This window comes from Homo sapiens, chromosome 2 (genome assembly GCF_000001405.40).
Source record: "Homo sapiens chromosome 2, GRCh38.p14 Primary Assembly".
NCBI classification, from domain to species: domain Eukaryota; kingdom Metazoa; phylum Chordata; class Mammalia; order Primates; family Hominidae; genus Homo; species Homo sapiens.
Window position 1 is genome coordinate 140,580,595 of NC_000002.12, and position 21,394 is coordinate 140,601,988.

At 33.4% G+C, this 21,394-nt stretch overlaps 1 protein-coding gene and 1 non-coding gene across 5 annotated transcripts in view, besides 1 other annotated feature; both read right to left on the reverse strand.

Moving 5' to 3' along the window:
* Positions 1–21,394, reverse strand: part of LRP1B (LDL receptor related protein 1B) — a 1,899,594-nt gene that overhangs the window by 349,172 nt on the left and 1,529,028 nt on the right. For all 4 annotated transcript variants that reach the window (NM_018557.3, XM_017004341.2, XM_017004342.1 and 1 more), the window contains 2 exons: positions 20,856–21,045; positions 18,037–18,241 (listed from right to left, as the gene is read on the reverse strand). In NM_018557.3, the coding sequence (NP_061027.2) occupies positions 18,037–18,241; positions 20,856–21,045 (395 nt within the window). The remainder of the gene's footprint in view (positions 1–18,036; positions 18,242–20,855; positions 21,046–21,394) is intronic.
* Positions 5,870–5,919: a silencer, noted in NCBI's record as "silent region_11988". NCBI's record gives its function as "represses an Ori minimal core promoter by ATAC-STARR-seq in GM12878 lymphoblastoid cells {active_cell/tissue: GM12878}" and the evidence as "EXISTENCE:reporter gene assay evidence [ECO:0000049][PMID:35858748]".
* On the reverse strand, positions 6,032–6,091 carry MIR7157 (microRNA 7157). The gene has a single exon (NR_106979.1). It is a non-coding gene; the product is annotated as a microRNA 7157 (primary transcript).

Genomic DNA, 21,394 nt, shown 5'->3' on the forward strand with positions numbered 1-21,394 from the left:
CCAATTTCCATGATAGCTCATAATAGCTCAGAGAAAGAATGAGGAAATGCGGATGAAGTCTGTCATTATGTATTTATACAGTCAAAAAAATGAAAAAGAAAAACTACAGACTGAATTATCAAAACCTAATTCATATGAGTTAATGGCTTTTTATCTTTTTTAAACAGTCCTTTGGGAGGAACTAGAAGCAGAGAAGAGCACTGGGACTTCTCAACTGAAAAGCTATTACTTCAACAGTCTATGGGGAGGGCTGCTCCAGAAATATCCTCCTGGATGTGTCAATTTGTTTTCTTTCTTACTTTCCAAACTAAGCACTTGAAAATGAGGAGAGAGAAATAAAATATTGTGAAGCCCAGCTGTCTATGGTACACATGTTTATGTCAGTCAGCACGCTTATGATCTATTGCAGCAATAAATCAAAAGAACTGCACTAGTTGTGTAATTTGTTATGGCAGTATATCAGCAGGGTGAGTCCTCCAGGAGCATGAGTTACAGACATGAACCTTGCATCATTGCTTTTATTTACTTTCTCTATTTAAGTTTGATATAAGAAGACAGAGTGGGAGGACCTGAAGTCAGAATTGAAAGGTTCTTTTGCATAATTGTCAAAATGACTTTAGACACTTTAACGAAGGTAACATTATTCAAAGTTTTCGCCTTTGATTTACTATTTCTGTTCAACTAAATTAAAAAGCACAATAAGCCTTAAATAGTATGGTGGTGATGATGATCAAGGTCCTCATTTAACTATTTCTTTTCCAACTCTGTAGCACACCTCTTCAGATACGCTTTTTGTCCTTCTCAGCACATTTTGCTTGCACACACTATTGCTTCCCGGGATCGCATACCTAATAGAGAAGCACAACATAAGCTCTTGCCTCAGGCTTTGTTATTTTTTTTTTGTTTATGCTTTTACAAATCTAATCTGAACTGAGATAAATGTCTTCACGTTTTTTGTCCTTATCTAAATACAATTTCTACTATCATTTGCTTTGAATTGTTCTTTAAATTGACTCTTTACCATAAATGGAAATCTAGTATCAGAATAGACTGCAACTCCAAAAAATTCTACAATGAAACTGAAACTATCAAATTATAGCTAAATAGTATTGCCAACCAAATGTTAGCCTGAATTATCTTTCTCTCCCTCCCTCTCTCCTGTTCTCTTTTTCTCTCCCCCTCTTCTCTCTGTATTTTTCTCTCTCTTTCATTAAGTATCACAGGGATATTAAATACCTATTAGCAGTAAACTTAAATTTTCTTTCTGGGTCAATCAGAGGATTGAAAGAGCATTAACTAAAGAATGATTTTTCATACTACATCATTCACTTTAAATTGATATTGTTTCCGTGTATCCCCTAATATCGGTAATATGAGTCCCATGTCTTGGAGAAAATGCAAGGCACTGTGAAAGGCCAAAATTATGAAGATTCTCATGCGAATTATCTCAGATATTCTGAATCAGGTGAGAGAACATGGTCGTGACACACATATATCTATACCTGGTTTAGGTCTGCCAAAACCATAATTAAAAAAAAATTCTCATTTACCGCGTATTTGATTGTACCTTGGGTAAATTCTCTGTTATGCCTATAGTAGACTACAATAATTATTCTCAATTTTCACTATGCAAATTGTGAAGCTTTGAAAAATGAGACCCATGCCTCATACAGGAATTCTGATTTAATTGTTCTCAGATTGGGGTTAGGCATCACTATCACGTAAAAGCCCCCTAAGGGATGCTAATGTACATTCTGTGGTAAGAAACTCTTCTACCTCTTCTGATATGTCATTGACAAATGTGCTCTTATTTCTGCCCAAAGCAGGGTTATAATTGGTGCTACGGTTCGAATGTCTTCCAAAATTTATGTGTTGAAACTTAATTGCCAATATGATAGTATTAAGAGGTGGGACTTTTAGGAGCTGATAAAACCGTGAGGGAAGAGATCTCATTAGCCCGTCCTTATACAAGAGCCTAAGTGTGTGGGTTTGATCTCTTCCGCTCTGCTGCCATGCGAGGAAACCATGTTCATTCCTTCTGTCATGCGAGGATGCAACAATAAAGCACCGTCTATGAGAGGCAGGCCTTCACCAGACACCAGGCCTGCTGGTGCCTTGATCTTTCACTTCTCAGCCTCCAGAACTGTGGGAAATAAATTTCTATTATTTATAAATTACCCCATCTCTGGTAGTTGGTTATAGAAGCATAAACGGACTAAGATACTGCAGCATTTATTTTTCATTCAGTTAACAAGCCCTTTAATTTTCCAACCATTCAGCAGGCCCAAATGCAAATGGACTGGCCAGTTGATTAGGTTCAGCTTTTACATGTTGGGGTGATTTGACCTTCTTTCCCCATTTGTGCTCAGTCCCAGCTCTGGATCCTACAAATAAATACTAGGGTACTTTACCCTTCAATGAGCAGAATTATCATGTTAGCAGAATAAACTACAGATTGTACACATTTGCAGTAGCTACATCAGTGGTCATAGGATTCTGTTGGCATCTTCATGGAAATATTAGCATGAGAGCATGAGTCTACTGAAAGTTTCTATTGACAGTTTCTCCTTTTTTTTCTTTTTTTTTTTTTTTTTTTTTTGAGACAGCATCTCTCTCTGTTGCCCAGGCTGGAGTGAAGTAATGTGATCTCAGCTCACTCAACTTCTGCCTTCCAGGTTCAAGCAATTCTCGTGCCTCGGCCACCCAAATAGCTGGGATTACAGGCGAGCACCACCACATCCAGCTAACTTTTTATATTTTTAGTATAGATGGGGTTTCACCACGCTGGCCAGGCTTGTCTTGAACGCTTGGCTTCAAGTGATCCACTTGCCTTGACCTCCCAAACTGCTGGTATTACAGGCGTGAGCCACTGTGCCCAGCCAGTTTCTCCTTTAATATGTGTAAAACTATTTAGTTTTTCTTCCCTCTAAGATACGTCTTTACTTATATTATTTATATTTTCTCTGTTTTTATTTCTTAACATTTCATAATTATGCAATAATTAAGGTCATGTATCTTACTGACTTTAGTTTTAAATGTTAGCTTCTTTTAGTAATTTAACAATGTAATTGTACATTATTAAATGTATTTTATATATTAATGGTCAACCATATTCCTTTTGATGACTTATTTATTATTATGTGCTGCTAGAAATAATTTAGCATCTTGATTTTTATTTTTTTATATTCTCAAAATTCCTGTGTAAATAAAAGATCTTGTTATAATAACATTTTAAATCAAAGGACTATAAAAAAATGACTTTTCTGCTAAACAGTTTTGTTCTCTTCTATCAAATCAAAGCACTGTATAACTTAACAGTCTTCCCATAATGTCTTGGTTGCTAGGAAGTTCAGAAAAAGCACATGCTTGAGTTATTTAGCTGTAGTCATACAATACCTGAGTTTTTATTGTAAACTAGTTTAAATAATATTTAAATGGTTAAAATAATAATTAGTTTTAATCTTTTTTATCATTTTAAATGTTCTCAGAGAGTCAAACACAGGGAAATATTGCCTCAAGCTCAAATAAATTCATGTTAGTTTTCTTATGTGTAAAACTTACAAAAAACACATTATAACCTGCTCAAGAACAATACAAAAAATAAGAAATTCAGAGAAGAGAAAAATTAATATAAGTTATTTGAGAATTTTATGAATTCAAACATGAAACTTTTAAAACTACTTTTCCTTTTATCTGCTCAATTATTTCACCAAAGGAAATATTTTTAAGCTTATTTGTATGCTTCTCCCTCTGTTCAGTTTGTAAGCAAAGTTAATTTGGAAGAAATGTGCTCATATATATATATATATATATATGAGCAGAATGGCTTTTGTTAGCTATCTGTTATTTTAATCTTTGTAGATGAATTTATACAATGAGGCAGGTAGGAGAGGTGGCTGCTGGCCTTTTGATAAATTCTATCTGATGCCTAAAAATTGAAAGTTTCTAGGAAATGTTAAATCAATCCATCAGTATCAGTATCTCATGCTGAAGGGACACCAGTTATTTTCTGGATGAATACACTAGTTGCCCTAGATACTGACCATTATTCTTCTGTAAGAACACATCTCTTTTCAGACAGTCTGGCTTCAGTAATACTTTAATTTGCAAGACTAACCAAGCTGAACCATCACTGAAATGTATGTGGACTTAAATCAAAGGAATTGTGTAAGAAATAAACACTATTAAGCCTACTGCAATATCATTCCTATCTTACTGGATAGGAATATCAGTTACCCTGGATAGCTGAGGCCTTCAAAATAGCAAAATTTTGATTTTGGCCTTTTCTTTTTTTTAAGCTCTTTGTTTTTTTCATTTTATTCAGAGCATCCTTTTTATAATTTGTCTTTTAGTTTATTTACTCGTATACTCATTTCTTCAGTGAATTTTGCTGAACATAGCAATGCATCAGACTTTGGGTATATTGCTTTTGGAGATACAAAGATGAAAAACAAATTGCCTTTCTTTAGATGTTATTATTCCTACAAAAGAGGAAATGAGGCAACTTATGATTAATTATATAGTTATCATTCATGTTTATACAAATGTGTATGTGTGTAGTGAATGTAGTTACACAATTTTAAACTTGGTTTATTTTTTAAATTTCATAATTCAAGGGGGGATTTACAAGAATTAACGTTTTAACTCCTCAAAATGCATCCTATGAGGCATAAACTATTAGTCATATTCTACAGCAGAAATTAAGGTGTAGAAGGATTAAGAAATGTCCTCGGCTTACTAAACAACAGGTCTTATATCTAAGTTTCAAATTCATGTCTAAACAATCTAAGTTTATTAATTTCTCCCACATCATACTGCTTCCTGAAAAGCAGTATGTTCTATTTTACTACCAAGACTGCCTCCATGTCTAAAATATTCAAGATGTGGCACCATCTTCTTATGTATATGAATGTGTTATAAAATATATATCAAATGGCTGATCTTAGAGTTGGAAAATAATTTTAAGTCTAGCCCAAAATGTCAAATCTGAGATTCAAAAAGATTAAAATAATTGCTCAAGATCACACAGTTTTTTTGAACCAGTCCAACACTGAAACAATGTTATCTAACACTAATTTTAGTTTTCTTTTCACTTATTTCTTATTCTCACTTAGACACCTATATTTGGCAATGTCATATATTCATATAAACTTTATTATATACTCTGTGATCACATCTACACATTATCATTAAAGACAATAAAATTTAGACAACACAATCAACCATCTTTATTTTCATAATCTTTATTTCCCTTAGGTGGAAAATCAGTGATTTCAATGTCTTTGGCCTGCAGCTCATGCCATATCATGTGTGTTTAATAAGTCTTTAATAAGTCTTATTCCTGTTTAAATTCATTGGCAATGCAAGGGCCTTGTTTTACAGACTTATAGAACATAAATCAGCTTAGATCTTTAAAAGTGTCTTTAAAAAAACTCAAATAGATGTTTCCCTTTTTTTCTATTCTGAATGTCTAAAAATCTATGAGCACACTAACTTATGCTCCTAGAAAAATGGACTAGACAGACATTTCTTGATCCTTATGTACAACTTAAAACTCTAGAAATTATACATAAAACAAACATAAGGTGACTATAAAAGTAGAGAGAAAAAGCAACCCAGCTGGGTATCTTGGGACCAAGAAATTCCATGGAAGTGTGTTTCCTAAGTGTCATTTTGTCTCATATATCTCAGACTCAAATCGTATAAGCTGGCAACCCAGAAATGGCAACATACACAGAAAAAATAAAAATAATAATCTGCTCTCTCTAGCTAAAAGACCAGGAAAGAAACAACCTAGCAAGCACAGCAGAAAACTTTACTATAGCCAGCCACCACAGGAAAAAGGCTGTGACACACCCACACCAGCAAAGGCCAAGTGGGGATCCTGGGCTTCCACACACCCCTGATGGTAATGAAGTGTCCACCCCTTCTCTGCTGAGGTGGTGTCAGAAGCAGCTCACTGGAGGGTCAGGACTTCCACCATCATCCTCTAGGTGACACTGTAGAGGCCATCTAGGTAGCCTGAACTCCCACTCTTCATCCAGTAGCACAGAGGAGTCCCAATTTCATCTCTGGTGCCAATGAATGCTGAATGGGGGACCTGCTACTCCGATAGGGTAGCACCCCTCACTTTCCCCTCCTAGACCGATGTCAGGGAAAGACAGTTAAAAACAGAAGGGTTGAAAATACGGAGATACATGCAGTAGAACATGTTCAAGTTCAAACAAAATTACTCATCATACCGAGAACTAGGAAGATTTCAAAGAGACTGAAAAAATCACAACTAATAGATGCCAACACCAAGATGACAGGGGTGTAAAAATTATCTGAAAAAGATTTAAAAGTAGCTATAATAAAATTTTTTTAAAAATAAAGGCTTTAGGAAAGAAATGGAAAATCTCAGTAAAAAAAATAGAAGAAAGAAACCGGAACAAAATGGAAATTTTAGAACTGAACGTAAAATAACTTAAATAAAAAGTTCAGTGAATAAACTCAACAGCAGAATGGAGGAAATGGAAGATGTGTCAGTAAACTAAAAAGTAGAATAATAGAAAATAGCCAGTCACAACAACAAAGAAAAAGCAGAAAGAAAGAAAACTGAACGAAGCTCCAGTGACCTGTGAGACTATAGTAAAAGACCTAACATTCATGTCAAAGAGTCCTACAAGGAGAGGAGAAAGCGTGGGGCTAAAAAGGACTTGAAAAATGTCAAGGCTGAAAACCACCAATCTGGCAAGAGACATATACCTACAGATTCGAGAAGCAGACTAAAGCTCAGAGACTATAAACCCAAGACGCATCATAATTTAACTTCTGAAATTGTGATTTGTGACAACATGGGTGAACTTGGAGTACATTATGCTAAATGAAATGAGCCAGACACAGAAAGACAAATACTTCATGAGCTCACACGTGGTATCTAAAAAGTCAGACTCTTATTAGTAGAGAGTAGAATAGTAGCTACCAAAGGCTGGAGTGAAGATGGGATGGGGAATAAGATGTTGGTCAAAGGATACAAATTTCCAGTTAGACACGAGAAATTAACTTTGGAGATAAATAGCACAAAAATTAGTAAGTACATGGGTGTTATGATTAACATGTTAATTAGCCTGAAGAATCATTCCACAATACATACATATATCAAAACATCACCTTGTACTCCTGAGATATACACAATTATTATTTGCTGATTAAAAATAAAAATAAACTTCTGAAAACTAGAGACAAGAAGCAAATCTTAATAGCAGCGAGGGGGAAATGACATGTTACATAGAAGAAAACAATTTTAATAATAATAGATATCTCATCAGAAATCACAGAGAACAGAAAGAAGTGGCCCAATATTTCTCAAATATGAAATGAAAACTGTCAACCCAGTGACCTATGCCAAGTGAAAATATCAGAAATAAAGAGAACATCAAAACAGTCTCAGATGAAAGGAAATTAAGATAATATGCCACAACAGATGGCAAAGAATGGACAAAAGGAATTTTCGAAAGCAATAGGGAAGTAAGCAATTAAAGAAGAAGCCTGTGAACATCAAGAAAAAAGAAAGAACACTGTGAGCAAAAATACGGGTACATAAAAGTAGGCTTTCCTTATACTGAGTTTTCTAAGTTGTTTGATGGTTGAAGCAAAAAAAATCTAACACTGTTGTGTGCAGAGTAAATCTTGAAGATAATTATATTACAAACAGGGGAGGCTAAAGAAACATAAAGGGATGTAAAGTTTCTATGCTTCGCTTTACTGGGTAAATGGTGATGCTTGTAGACTGATAAGTAATGAATATATACTGCAGTACCTAAAGCAACTGCTAAAAAAGTTAGACAGAGAATATACCTGACGACACTATAGATATATGAAAGACATTTTGTAGATGTGGATAGATTATTCTAAAACTTATGCAAAATGGCAAAGAAAATAAAATAACTAAAATAACTTTGAAAATCAAGGCTGTGTGTTATTGACAGAGTGGCAAACTCATTAAATAAATGGAAAAGAACAGGGAACCCCAATATAGACACCTACAATTATGCCCAAATGATTTTTGAAAAAAGTATACAAGCAATTAGAGAAAAGATGGACATCCAGCTGGGTGCATTGGCTCGTGCCTGTAATCCCAGCACTTTGGGAGGCCAAGGCGGGTGGATCACGAGGTCAGGAGATCAGCCTGGCTAACACGGTGAAACCCTGTCTCTCCTAAAAATACAAAAAATCAGCCGGGTGTGGTGGCACACGCCTGTAGTCCCAGCTAACTCGGGAGGCTGAGGCAGGAGAATCTCTTGAACCCAGGAGGCAGAGGTTGCAGTGAGCCGAGACTGCACCACGCACTCCATCCAGCCTGGGCAACAGAACGAGACTCCGTCTCAAAGAAAAAAAAAAAAAAAAGATGGACATCCATAGGCAAAAAAGTGGACCTTGACCTAAGTTTCTGACCAAATGCAAAAATAAGTTCAAAATGAATTACGAATGTAAATGTGAAATGTGAAACTATAACATTTTTAGAAAAAATAGAATAAAATCTTTGGAATCTAAGGCTAGGCAAAGAATTCTTAGTCTTAGCATCAAAAGCATGAACCATGACAAAGAAATATAAATTAAAAATAATCAAAATAAATTTTGCTCAGCATAAATCTCATGTGAAAAGAATGGAAAAACAAACTACAAAGTGGGGGAAAATATTTACAAACCACATAGCCAACAAAAAAGTATCATCTAGAATATATAAATAACTCATAAACTGTAAGTGGGAATGTAAAATGGTACAGTCATTCTGGAAAGCAGTTTGTCAGTTTCTTAAAAAAAAACTAAACAAGCCACTAATGTATGACCCAGTGATTGAACTCTTAGACATTTATTACAGAGAGTGAAGAATTATGTTCATTCTAGAATCAGTACACAGATATTCATGAAAGCTTCATTCACAATAGCCAAACACTAGAAACCGCCCTGATGACTTTCAACAAGTGAATAAAGATACTGTGGCTTATTCATATCATAGATACTACTCAGCAGGAAAGAGAACAGACTAGTCATATTTGCAACAACCTGAATGAATCTCCAGAGAATTTTACTGAATGGAAAGGGTCAGTCCCTAAAGGAAATGCACTATATAATTCCATTATATAAGTTTCTTAAAGTTTCTTTATAAAGAAGTTATAAAGTTTCTTTACAAAGTTTCTATGTAAGTTTCTTAAAGTGACAAAGTTATGGAAGTGGAAAACAAATTAGTGGTTGCAGGTGATTAAGAAAGGAGTGGGAAAGAAGGGAAGTGTGCACAGCTATGCAAAAAAGCAACATGTGGGATCATTGGAATGAAGGAAATGTTCTGTATCTTGACCACATAAGTGTCTATACCCTGGTTGTGAGATTGTACTATACTTTTCCAAGATGTAATCATTAGGGAAAACTGGGTAAAGAGTACACTTGATCCTTCTGTATTACTTTGTACAACTTCATGTGAATCTACAGTTATCTCCAAATAAAAATGTTTAATTAAAAATTCATAAGCACAAATGCATATGTCGTCCTTCACTCATTAATATTTGTTATCTGTTCTAGAAATGCACACAGGTAAAAACAAATCACTTATAATTTCACAACCTAAAGGCTTCTATTAACAATTTTGGGAATTTTTAAATGTGTATATATATATACATAATATATAATGTATATATGTATATATATCTATATATGCATATATAATATATATTTATATGTAATATATAATGTATACAAATGTGTGTGTGTATATATATATATAGATGAATGCTTTTTTCCTATAGAAAATGATTTATAGTGGCTATGGACTGAACTGTGCCTCCTTGCAAAATTTACATGTTGAAGCCCTGACTCCCAATATGACTGTACTTGGAGACATGACCATTAAGGAGATAATTAAGATTAAATAAGGTCATAAGGGTAGGTTACTAATTTTATAGAATTTGTGGCCTAGATCTCTTTCTCTCTCTCTCTCTCTCTCTCTCCCCAGCCCCCAACCCAGTCCCCATGCACATCAAGGGAAGGCCACGTGAAGACACAGTGAGAAGATGACCATCCATAAGCCAGGAAAAGAGGCCCTCACCAACCTGACTATGCTGGCACCCTGATGTCAGAATTCCAGCCTCTAGAACTGTGAGAAAGTAAATTTCTGTTTTTTAAGCCACCCAGTCTAAAGTATTGTGTTATGGCAAACAGAGCACACTAAGACAACAGCATTCATTTTTTCATTCAAGAAATATTTTTATACATCTAGCCTGAGAGACAGCATATTAAAGTGTTCACTCTACGCTTATCACTTAATGTATACTAAATCTCCCCATGGAAAAATATGTTTTACATGATAATTTTTAATGGATTAATAGAATTCATAGACTTGCTGTATTCTTTACTTTTATCACATTTCTATTTAGTCACTTACTGTTCTAAAGATTAGAAAGTTATAAAGATCATTTTTAAATAAATTAGAAAGTTATTAAGGTCTGATTATAATTTGAATAACTATTCATGCCCAAGAATACTTAAAATATACTGAAATCAATATTGGACCTAATAGTCTGAATATTGAATGATGCCTCCTGAGTTCAGAAAAATGTCAAAGACAACAAAACGTCCGATATCCAGCAGCCTCTCAGAATTTAGTAGATAATGGGCTTTTTTATAATATACTTGATTGCAATGTCCATCATGTAAAAGGTACTGGATATATACAGTTCTATCTATTCAATTGGCTGATCTGTTAAAATTAAAGTCCAGAGAAGTCTTATGCTGACAGTTAGGTACTCTGCTTCTTGTCTATGATTTATCCAGCTATTGACAGACCCAACATCCCATGTATTTGAGGCATGTGAGACAGAATAGAAAGATCACTGCTGTCAGGAGAACTTTCTTCATATCTCCCTTTAAGACAATTACCCATCTTATTGGCTCTCAATCAAGGCAGTCCTATTCCTTCTACGACTTTGGAAAATGTTGGCAGCATTTTTGCTTAATAGGAGTGGGGTAAGGTGGGGATGATAGCTATATAGTCTAGTGGTAAAGAACCAGGAATCTGGATGCCCTGCAATACACGGAGCAGTTCTGTACAACGACTTGTCTGAGACTCTGCCCAGATTTCAAATGTCCTACAAGATATTCTCAAAGATGAAAACCTGCTTATAATTATCTGATCCTAGAATTTAATTCCATTTTACATATATACATAAGTATTTCAGGAGATTTAATATATACTTATTATTTTTCAGGGACCATAACTTCTATGTAAATTGAGAGATGACTTTATCTCATTTTGTATACAACATTTTCAAGAACTCATCATCAGTTTTGAAAATCCTATCACCCAAGTCAGCACTACTCTCAGTATTTGAGTAGTAAAACCTACTTGATATGTATCTGCCTTCACAGCTGTCACATTCATGATGAGTCTATGCATGTGAAAATATCTGACCACTTTCTCATGTTTCCTTTGATCATTTAGTGTGTACTGGGACATGTATCATTCATTGTAAATTACTTTTTCTATATATCTCCTTTATATTATAGTTCAGGTACTAAATAGAACTTGGAAAAGTTATTTATAAAGGCAGATATAATATAAAATTTTATTAGAACAGAAATAAGGATATTAAGTTTTTAAATTAAAAATAAAGATCACTGGCTCTAATAGAGAGTTAAGAACCATAATTGGCATTAAATATTAGACATAGTAACATTAGAAATTAATTTACCTTTTCTGGGCCTGTTTCCTAATCTGTGAAATAATACTGGTTTATTCCAGTTAATGGTGGAAAGGTTTTCAGTTCATTGAAATGGATGCTTATACTTATACTTTAATTTTTAAATCAAATATTTCCTTTTTTTTTTTAGAAGTTGACACTCATCTTCTTTCTTGTCTTTGGTGATAGCAAATGGTTTTGACTTGGGTAAGCATTTCAAACCTATGTTGTGAGAAAATTCACTTTTCTGGGCATCAAAACTTATTCTGTAAGTTTCAGAGTTCAGGCCCTTGAACGTCATTAAAACTATATTATCAATAAAAGAAGACAGCGTAGATATATAGATAAGAAAGATAGAAGATAGGTAAATATATAGATGCATATAGATGATAAGTTGATGCCTTGATTTATTTATGGAATAAAACAACTGATTTTAAAAGTAGAAAGATAGAGAGACCCCCATCACTACTCAAAGTAAAAAATTAGCCAAGTATGGTGGTTCAGGCTTGTAGTCCCAACTACTTAGGAGGCCAAAGTGGGAGGATCATTTGAGCCCAGGGTTAGAGGGCTACAGTGAGCCTTGATCACAACACTGAACTCCAGCCTGGATGACAAAGTGAGATCCTGACACACACACACACACACACACACACACACACATACACACAAAGTAGAAAGGAAATATTTAGTGCCATAAAAAGATAAAATATCTCATTACTTTCTGATTGTTCTTAGAATTAAAACTAGTTTATTTATTTAACTTGCTCTCCTATTCTTACTTAAAAGAGTTCATGTAATCAGAGCATGTTTATTTAGGGGTCAAGTTAGTCATAAAAATCCTTTTCATTCTAAAGAAAAGTCATAAGATTTAAGATTTCTTCCTGGGAATATATTCCTTAAACAATCTTGGATTCAGTTTTTAAAAGAATGTCAGTGGTAAGAAACATGAGCAATTCCAATTTCTAGGAACATAAATATCTCTTTTGGAAAGGTTTGTATCATGCAGGTAGCACATACTTTCCAAGAAATGATTAACACTTACAGGGTAACTGCAGGGAGATAGGTTATAATCATGCTGTCTTAGCCCCTGTCAACATGATTTATTGTTTCAGCTACTGGAACGAACAGAGATGATGATAGATACAAAACAGAAAAAATTAAAAAGAAACATTACAGAATTATTTTCTGGATTTTTTTGCCTTAATAACTAAATTTCCCAAAAACATTCAGTTTCCTATCACTGAATAAAGAATGCATTCCTCGATATTTAGGTAGAACCACCACATAAGTTAATGTGTTATTAAAATCAGAAAAACCCAGCCAATCATATTATTTTTATCAATGCAAGTCAAAATTGAACTGTGCGGACTTGTATTTTATTGTGACCACATTCTAAGATAAAACAGAATAATAAAACTCGACATTCAGTTTGATAGAAAAAAACTAATGGGTTTATTAAACTTCAGATTAAAAAAATCAAAAAATAAAAATGTATTTAAAAAACCCTTTTTTGATTTATTTTTGCTGTTTGAAAGGATCTGTTTCTCTGGTCTACTGATAAGCAATGGGTTATATAATATTTATATGATAAATATGAGTTGTAAGTGTGAGTTGTAAATAGTGTATCAGCATTTTTCAAATCTCTACAAACACATGCCCATGACACATCATGTTAATTTTTTTTTTTTGAGACAAAGTCTCATTCCATTGCCAGGCTGGAGTGCAGTGACATGATGTCGGCTTACTGCAACCTCCACCTCCTGGGTTCAAGCGATTCTCCTGCCTCAGCCTCCCGAGTAGCTGGGACGTGCCACCATGCCCGGCTAATTTTTTGTATTTTTAGTAGAAATGGGGTTTCACCATCTTGGTCAGGCTGGTCTCGAACTCCCGACCTCGGGTGATCCACTTGCCTCAGCCTCCCAAAGCTCTGGGATAACAGGCATGAGCCACCGCGCCTGGCCCATGTTAAAAAAATTAAAACAAACAAGCAAAAATCATCTGTTTTCTGATCAGAACAAAGCTACATGCTGTTTTCCATTCAGAATATTCATAATGTTCACGAGCATATTAAAAGCTTTAAGATGTAATGCAATGACTAAGCCTATCAGACTTTGTTTAAAACATAGTTTTGAAAATTTACTTGACTATGGTCTAATTCCTAAAGATATTCAAAAGAAGGAACACTTTTCCAACAGGCTTTGGAAGACCCACTTCATCATACTGCATTCGAGGGCACACAAGGTCTAAATTTATAAGAATCTCTCCAACACTTTAAAATCAATTAACTTAAATATAGGTTACTTCTTTCTCATTAAAGATACACTGTATCTAATATTCCAGATTATGATGTCTAGCTTCTTTCTAATCTTTTCACTCCCCTGGGGATATCTGATTTCCCTACTCTTGAGATTGCCTTCTGCTATCACTTGCTTTACCCAAAGTTAGAAAATATGCAATTATGCAAAATAAATGTTCCCTTCTGTAACTGTCACTTTTCCAGCACTCCTTTTTATTGTATTGCTTCAGCATTTTTTGACATTATAGAATGAACGATGTTTTGCGTCTCTTCTTATATTTCATGGTGACTATTTTAAGTCTTTTATAGAATCCTTCAATCTTCGTAACTATACTTTCTATTTCCTAAATATCATTCTTTCTAAATCTATAGTTTTTACCTGTCACACATTTCTTCAGTGCCTTTTACAGTGTACTCCAAAATATAAAAATGGAATTTATCCTGTTGTTTTGCAGATCTACTTAAAAATAAAATATAAATTGAATATATATATATATATATATATATATATATATATATATATATATATATATTAGTATGGTTGCCCAAAGGGAATAAAATAAGGAGTAGAAAAAAATAGGAGTAATATTTTGTTATAGCAGCTTGAATGGATTACAACAATTGACAATGCTTTCATTTCATGTAGTAAGTGGAAGTCACTGGTTCCTGTGAACACTGGCATGTGTTAGATTATCTGCTCTTTTCAAGGCGAACTAACAATAACAGTTGGATTTCAAGGCAAATCTAGGTACAAGCACACTAAATGATAGTGCTGTTTATAAAGGTCCCATTTATAAAAGAACACCCTGTGTATGAATTTTTGGCTTTTCAGAACAAGGAAAGATTGAGAATTAAAATATTGAGAATTATCATTAAAATGTCGCAGATTTAATTCCATATCATTAATTATCTTTGAGCATATGTTTTACTTCCTCAACTAGATATGGGGACAAAGAACGTTTATTTTACCTTTTTGAATTAACAATGACTTCTGCTAATTTCCACAAAATTAGAGAACATCACAATTATGTTGATTTTAGCTGTCATTTGTTTTTACAACTAAATTAATTATAAAGTATAAGAGCTTTGATTCCCACTAGTATGCATTATACCATGTAATAAACAAAACATGCACATGTACTCCCTGAATCTAAAATAAAATTACATTTTTAAAAAAGCATAAGGATTTTAAATGACTTGGTAATGTTCATGCAATTAGTCAATACCAAATGTGAGGATTAAATTTAACATTGCATAAAAAGTATAATTTTTAAAGAAGTAAACTTCCAACTTTCATTCTAGTATTTATTTTGTAAAATTATCTTTACTAATAATTACAGAATATGAATTTAATAAATATTAATTTCTGAAATGAATAATAAGCATTTAGTCTTCCCCTTCCCTGATTGCACTATTTGTCACACAGCTAAGCAATGGGTATATCTAAACATGAAAGTGAAAAGAATACTAAAAGCAAAGAGAAAATTCTTATATAACAGGCCATAGTAGAGTTGCTGTAACATCTGTCTAAGGCTTCAGAATATCTATTAAACAGTTTTAGACACAAAGTTATAATAAAGGTCCTTGCAATGGTGTGAGGGTGCAATAGTGATCTTTCTCTTTTAAAAGAGCTTTGATGACCCCAGCTTCAAATGATTAGCTTGTCTTGACATAATGGCGAAAACTATGTAAAGAGTATTTCAAAAAGATTACGCAGAAGCTCTATGTCTCTATTAGAGAGCAGTTTTAAAGGGGATAATGTGTCACTTAGAGTTGGATGCTGTTCATTTTCTTCCCTGTCGATTTTACTGATGTTCTTAAAATGTGTATCAAAGTAATGTGATGTCTGCTGACAAGTTGAGTAAATCTACTTGGTTTACTACGTAAATCAGCAGAACTTCAAATTTTACTAGGCATAGTTTCATATTCAGTAATGAATTGAAATATTTACTGTGCAAAGTGTTTATGGGTAACATATTAAAGATATGTGAGGAAGAAGGAGAGAACAAATGTATTGCTAATTGCAAGGCATGAGGAAGTGGTCATGTTTTGTACACTTAGTTGGGTCCTTTTTAAGTGTTTTCAAATTTAGCATGATGGTTTGCACAGGCGCTGAAGTGAGATCACCAGGGGTAGAATCACCTTCCTGCTACGTATGTGGCTAGGTGTTCCCGAACAAGTACTAAACTTCTTTGTGCCTCATTTTCTTCATCTGCAAATGGGGATCATCATAATAATGCCTTCCACGGGGAGGGCTATAAAAACATGAAATATAAAGTGCTTGGCACAGTATCTAGAACACAATTAGCAATCAGTGATTTAGCTAGTAGGGCGATTAGTAAATTGATACAGTCTGAAGTCTTAATAAATCTGCACAAAGTCTTTAAAACAGTCCATAAATAGTCCCTAAATTAACTTTTGCAAAATAAAGAATTTTTAAAATGTATTGCTCATTTTATTAACAAAAATATTAACTTTTAAAAATTAATTTGAATTCATATGAGGATAAAGATGAGGTAATCTAGATGCATGTAAGAATGCAGTAAACTTTGAAATAGTTTTCTAACTTCGGGGCCCAATCAGAAATCATCCTGCCTTGGACAGGGATGGAAAATGATGAGTTGCAATTAAACAATGCACATCTTTTAACTGTCAGAAAAAATCCTTTAAATTATGTTAGTGCTATCTTATTACTCGACCACTTACTGTAGCTATAATTACCATACATAAGAATAAATGGGTGGGGAAGTGCAAAATAGGTATATACAAAAATCAATTGAGGAGAATGAGTTATAAACTCATTTTTTTCAATATCATGACATAATAAAAAATGACACCACATTCAGGACAATGTTTTACCTGTCTTTTCAAAAGCATTATATACTAGGTTTATTTAGAATTTCTATGCTGCATTCTGAGTCATATACTTTTGCATTATATCTTCATAATTGCCCTGAAAGAAAATTTGCATGTCAGAAATCTAAAGTTTATAAAGGCTAAATAATTTGCCTAAGGTCAATTCAATCTTCAACTGAATTAAACAGTGTGCTTAGCCATAGAGAATTTGTTCTATATGTATAGAATTTGCTGATTTGTTGCCTGTTTCTGTAAATAAAACTTTATTTGAATACTGTCAGGTCTATTCATTTATATATTCTCTATGTCTGTGTTAGTGCCGTGAAACACTGTAGTTGTGATAGAGATCACATGGTCCATGAGGCTTCAAATATTTACTATCTGGCCCTTTAAGAAAAAAATTGTGTTACATTCCAGACCTTCTTCAGTGCAGTGGAGGCATGAGGAGCCTGAGGATCATTTTGTCCTTCAGGCCTGTACAGTGGTAGGGACATGGGTCCAGATTTCTCTAGTGCTGTAGCCACCCAGATCTAACCACTGAGGTTCCCAGTCACCAAGGCAGCTACTCCTCACAGGACAAGGGGGCGCCCTAGCATCTCACCATTCTTCAGGCCCTAAATACCTGCTGTAAGTGCTCTCAAGGGATAGCATAGCAACTCTTCCACTAACATTTCATTTTGAACCCAGAGAAAAGAGAGTCCAGTGATTAGAACAGATTTGACCCATTCTCCTCTCTTCAGAGCTTCTTAGGTTGCTTTAAGGACACAAACACAGAGGATCATTTCATTCTTTTCTAATTTTCTTTTATCCTGGGACAACTAATCAATTTTATTTCACATTTTTAAAAACTATACATAACAATGAAGCATATGCAAATCACTCTAACAATTCCAGTTCTATTAATAACTAGAAGGAAATTAGTTACTATTGCTCCAGAAAAAGTTTATGTGTTGAGCTGTCTCTATGGTAGCAAATGCATTTGAAAGAAGTTTTCAAAATACTATCCACAATTTTCTTATGTGTGTGATAGATTAGTTATTCAATTGGATTGTTTCAATCAACTGGCTATTTTGAAATTCCTTGATATGTACATTTTAGGAGAGTATAAATCACATGTTTTAAATATATCATTGTATAACTCTATAACCAAGAAATTCCTGATTAACTTACATGTCTCTGGGATCCATCGTATTCACACCTTTCAATTTTTCCTAGACTGCCATCTGAGAAATACAGCTTCTCTGCACGGTAGTCGATAGTAAGTCCATTTGGAGTGAGTATGTCTGTACTGACCACCACTTGAGCATTTTTCCCAGTCAGAGTAGATCTCATGATACTTGGATGTTGTTCATTCCAGTTGGTCCAAAACATTAAACTAATTAAAATGAAAATTGTAACTATAAATTAAACTTCTCATCAAGAGTAAAAATACTAATAGAAACATGGCAATACCAAGCTATTTTAAAAGAAGCAGAATTATTTACCTCATATTCTATCTTTAACAAAGTCTAGGTAATAAAAGGAGATATGCATATTATATATGCATGTTAATTTTCCCCAGGTTCTTAAATGAAACCTAGAACCTACTTCTAAAAAATAATTATCCTGTGTATTCCTTCAAATGATAATTTGGTTAAACTGTTAGATGCATAATGAGGATTTATTTTAATCAAGAACAAAACAGTGATCTTAAGTTTGTTTTCCACAAACTGCAAATATACCCTAACTTATTACCACATTTCAGCTGATCCAGTACAATCATTCTTATCCTAAGTATACTTATTTGCTTCAATTGATGAAAATAAAAATCTTCTTCCCCTTCCAATTTTACTTTTTAAATTCTGCCTTCTCTTTTGTATATGTTTTGGAGAAAGAAAATTACTAAACTCCTGTTTTTTACATTTCTTTTTTTCTCTCAGTGTGATTTTTCTATAAATTACAATATCATTTCTAAAACTCTAGGAGTGACTCTTAAATCCTTCAGCATAGTATCTGTTCTCTATGGATTCCCATGTATAACCATTTAAAGGCAGTTTAGCATTACAGCCAACAAAGTTATTCAATATGTGGTTTTGAGTATTTTATGACACTTATTACCAAATAATTTTCAAATTCACAACAAAAATGTTTGTATTCAATTTTCATTGTTGGTAATTTTACTTATAAGTTGTGACATTTAAAATAAAAAATACTGAATTAAAACATTTTAAAAGTTATGCATAGAATGTAAAGTATTAAACTCACAATTTATTTACAATATTTTCCTAGATTGTAGGCTTTATAATAAGAGAATTTTAGAGGTGTTAGTGTTCCTTTCATTTCCCCCCTTCATTTCACAGGTAAGAAAACAGAACGGCCCAGAGAGCTTAAGTAATTAAAGTTTTCACAAATAATTAGTAACTGAGCCAAATTTTAAACTTAGAGAACCTAACTTTGATTTGCGATTTAGGATTTCATTTTAAAATATCTGTTAATCTATTAACATACAATGGTGGTTTGAAGGTGTCATTTACATATATGATGATAAATTGCCTTTATTATACTTTATTTACAAATAATTATCAAATTGAAATATTTTATGTGTTTAATTTTAATTTACAGTTCACCATATGCAAGGTGAAAAGTGTAAATGTTAGCCTATGTAATAAATAATTACAGGATAAAACACTTGCTAATTAAAACTCATCATATATAATATCATGAGTGACTGCTTTATTTTTATTTCAAAACTGACTTACAAATTCCTTTGCCCAACTCTTTTATTCCTACTGTGGGACATTTATTATTGTCCTGAGATTCTTCTGGTGATGTGTTGGGGTAAATGCAGCTGAGTCAGCAAACCGTATTCTCATAGGACAGTGGTGGGAGCAGTCTCCCAAGCTCCATGAGTCATTACATTGCTCAGTCTTAAGAATTTTCACATATAAGATGATGTTCAATTAAGTGAATTAAATCTGACCTCACTTTTAGCTCTATAAAAGGGTTCAGATTTACAACTATTTTCACACTGACCAATTTCTGTTATTTAGTCCTTTCTTCTGACAAGTGGTCTGGGTCAGTGATTATCTGTCATTGCTTTTTATTCTTCAATCTTTTTTTTGTTTTAATCACACCTAAAACGAACTCTTCTAGCTCTTCTAGTTTTGCTCAGGAAGGCCAGATTGGTCTGATTTTTGTTTACTCATTTCATTTAAAAATAAAAAGAATTTTCTTATAGTTAACAAACAACTTTACCATATTGTATATGAGAGTGAAAGTCCATAGATAGGTATTTTTTTGTTCCTTACCTGTGCTTTGTTCTTCGGGGTTTTTTTTTTTTTTTTTTTTTTTTTTACATAACTGCTTTCTTTAAGACATCCTCCAAAACACAATTTTTTTCTTTGTTTTTATTCACTGAGTATATTTTATATCCGGAGCATTTTCTTTTGTCATGAAATTTTTACAAGCATTATTTTAGGTGTCTGTACAATATATCATCAAACAGCTGTAGACTACTTAGACTATTATCAAGCACCTAGTGCTGAAAAATAGCTGCACACAAAGATTTTTGTATGGTTGCAGTTTGCTTTCTTTTGTATTGCAATTTGGGAGATCTCCAGATGCTATAATTACTTGATTAAAATGCAAAAAAAAAAAAAACACTCTTAGTCTTCCGTGTATGTTAATTTTTTTAAATATATGGTTCCAATCAGCTATGTATTAAAGTCTTCTTCATAGGCCTTTTCCAGCATGGTATTGTCTCTAGTTTGCCTTTAATTATTTAAATTTGTTTTTACTGGATCTCTCAGGAAGATGAAGCCTGGCTTTTAAAGGGACCAGATTTTTCACATTTATAATGCTCTTACATAAAAAAAAAAGTTTTATGAATTGTGAAAATAAAACTTCAAATAAAAACTTTATTTTTAAAGTTAATTCTTAAAATTAACAGAACTCTGATATTCTTTTGACTTATAACTATAATGAAGAAATAAAACTACACTGTTTCTTACTTTTGACATTCATCCAAGGCTAGCACATGTGGATGGTCATCTTCTGACATGGTGATGACAGCTTCCCTGTCAAATGCTCCAGGCCGAGTCTGGTCCACAGTGTGTCTGGTGATGGATGAGGTGGTAGAGCTTGTCCAGTACAGTGTATCCCAGGCTCTGTGATAGGCAAGTCCTTCCACAGAACCCACATCTAGTGGGGGAAGAAAAAGAAAAAATATATACTTTTATTTACAAAAAAATGACTTCTGGACAGAAAAAGCATTTAAGACATACATGTATACCTGTTATTTCATCAACCATTTCTCCACAAAATCTCCAAAATAAAAATGCAGTCATTGTGATACCTACAATTGACAGCTTATTATACATATATAATGGGAGCAATTTTTGCAAAAAATGTCATTATAGACTTAATCTTCTCACAAATAAAATAAAATTAAATAATTGCCTTTCATTTTGGAAAATGGTGGCTCTCTTTCTTGTATCTTAATCAATTTTCAAAAATATCCAACGTGCAACAACTTAGAGATGTTTTGGAA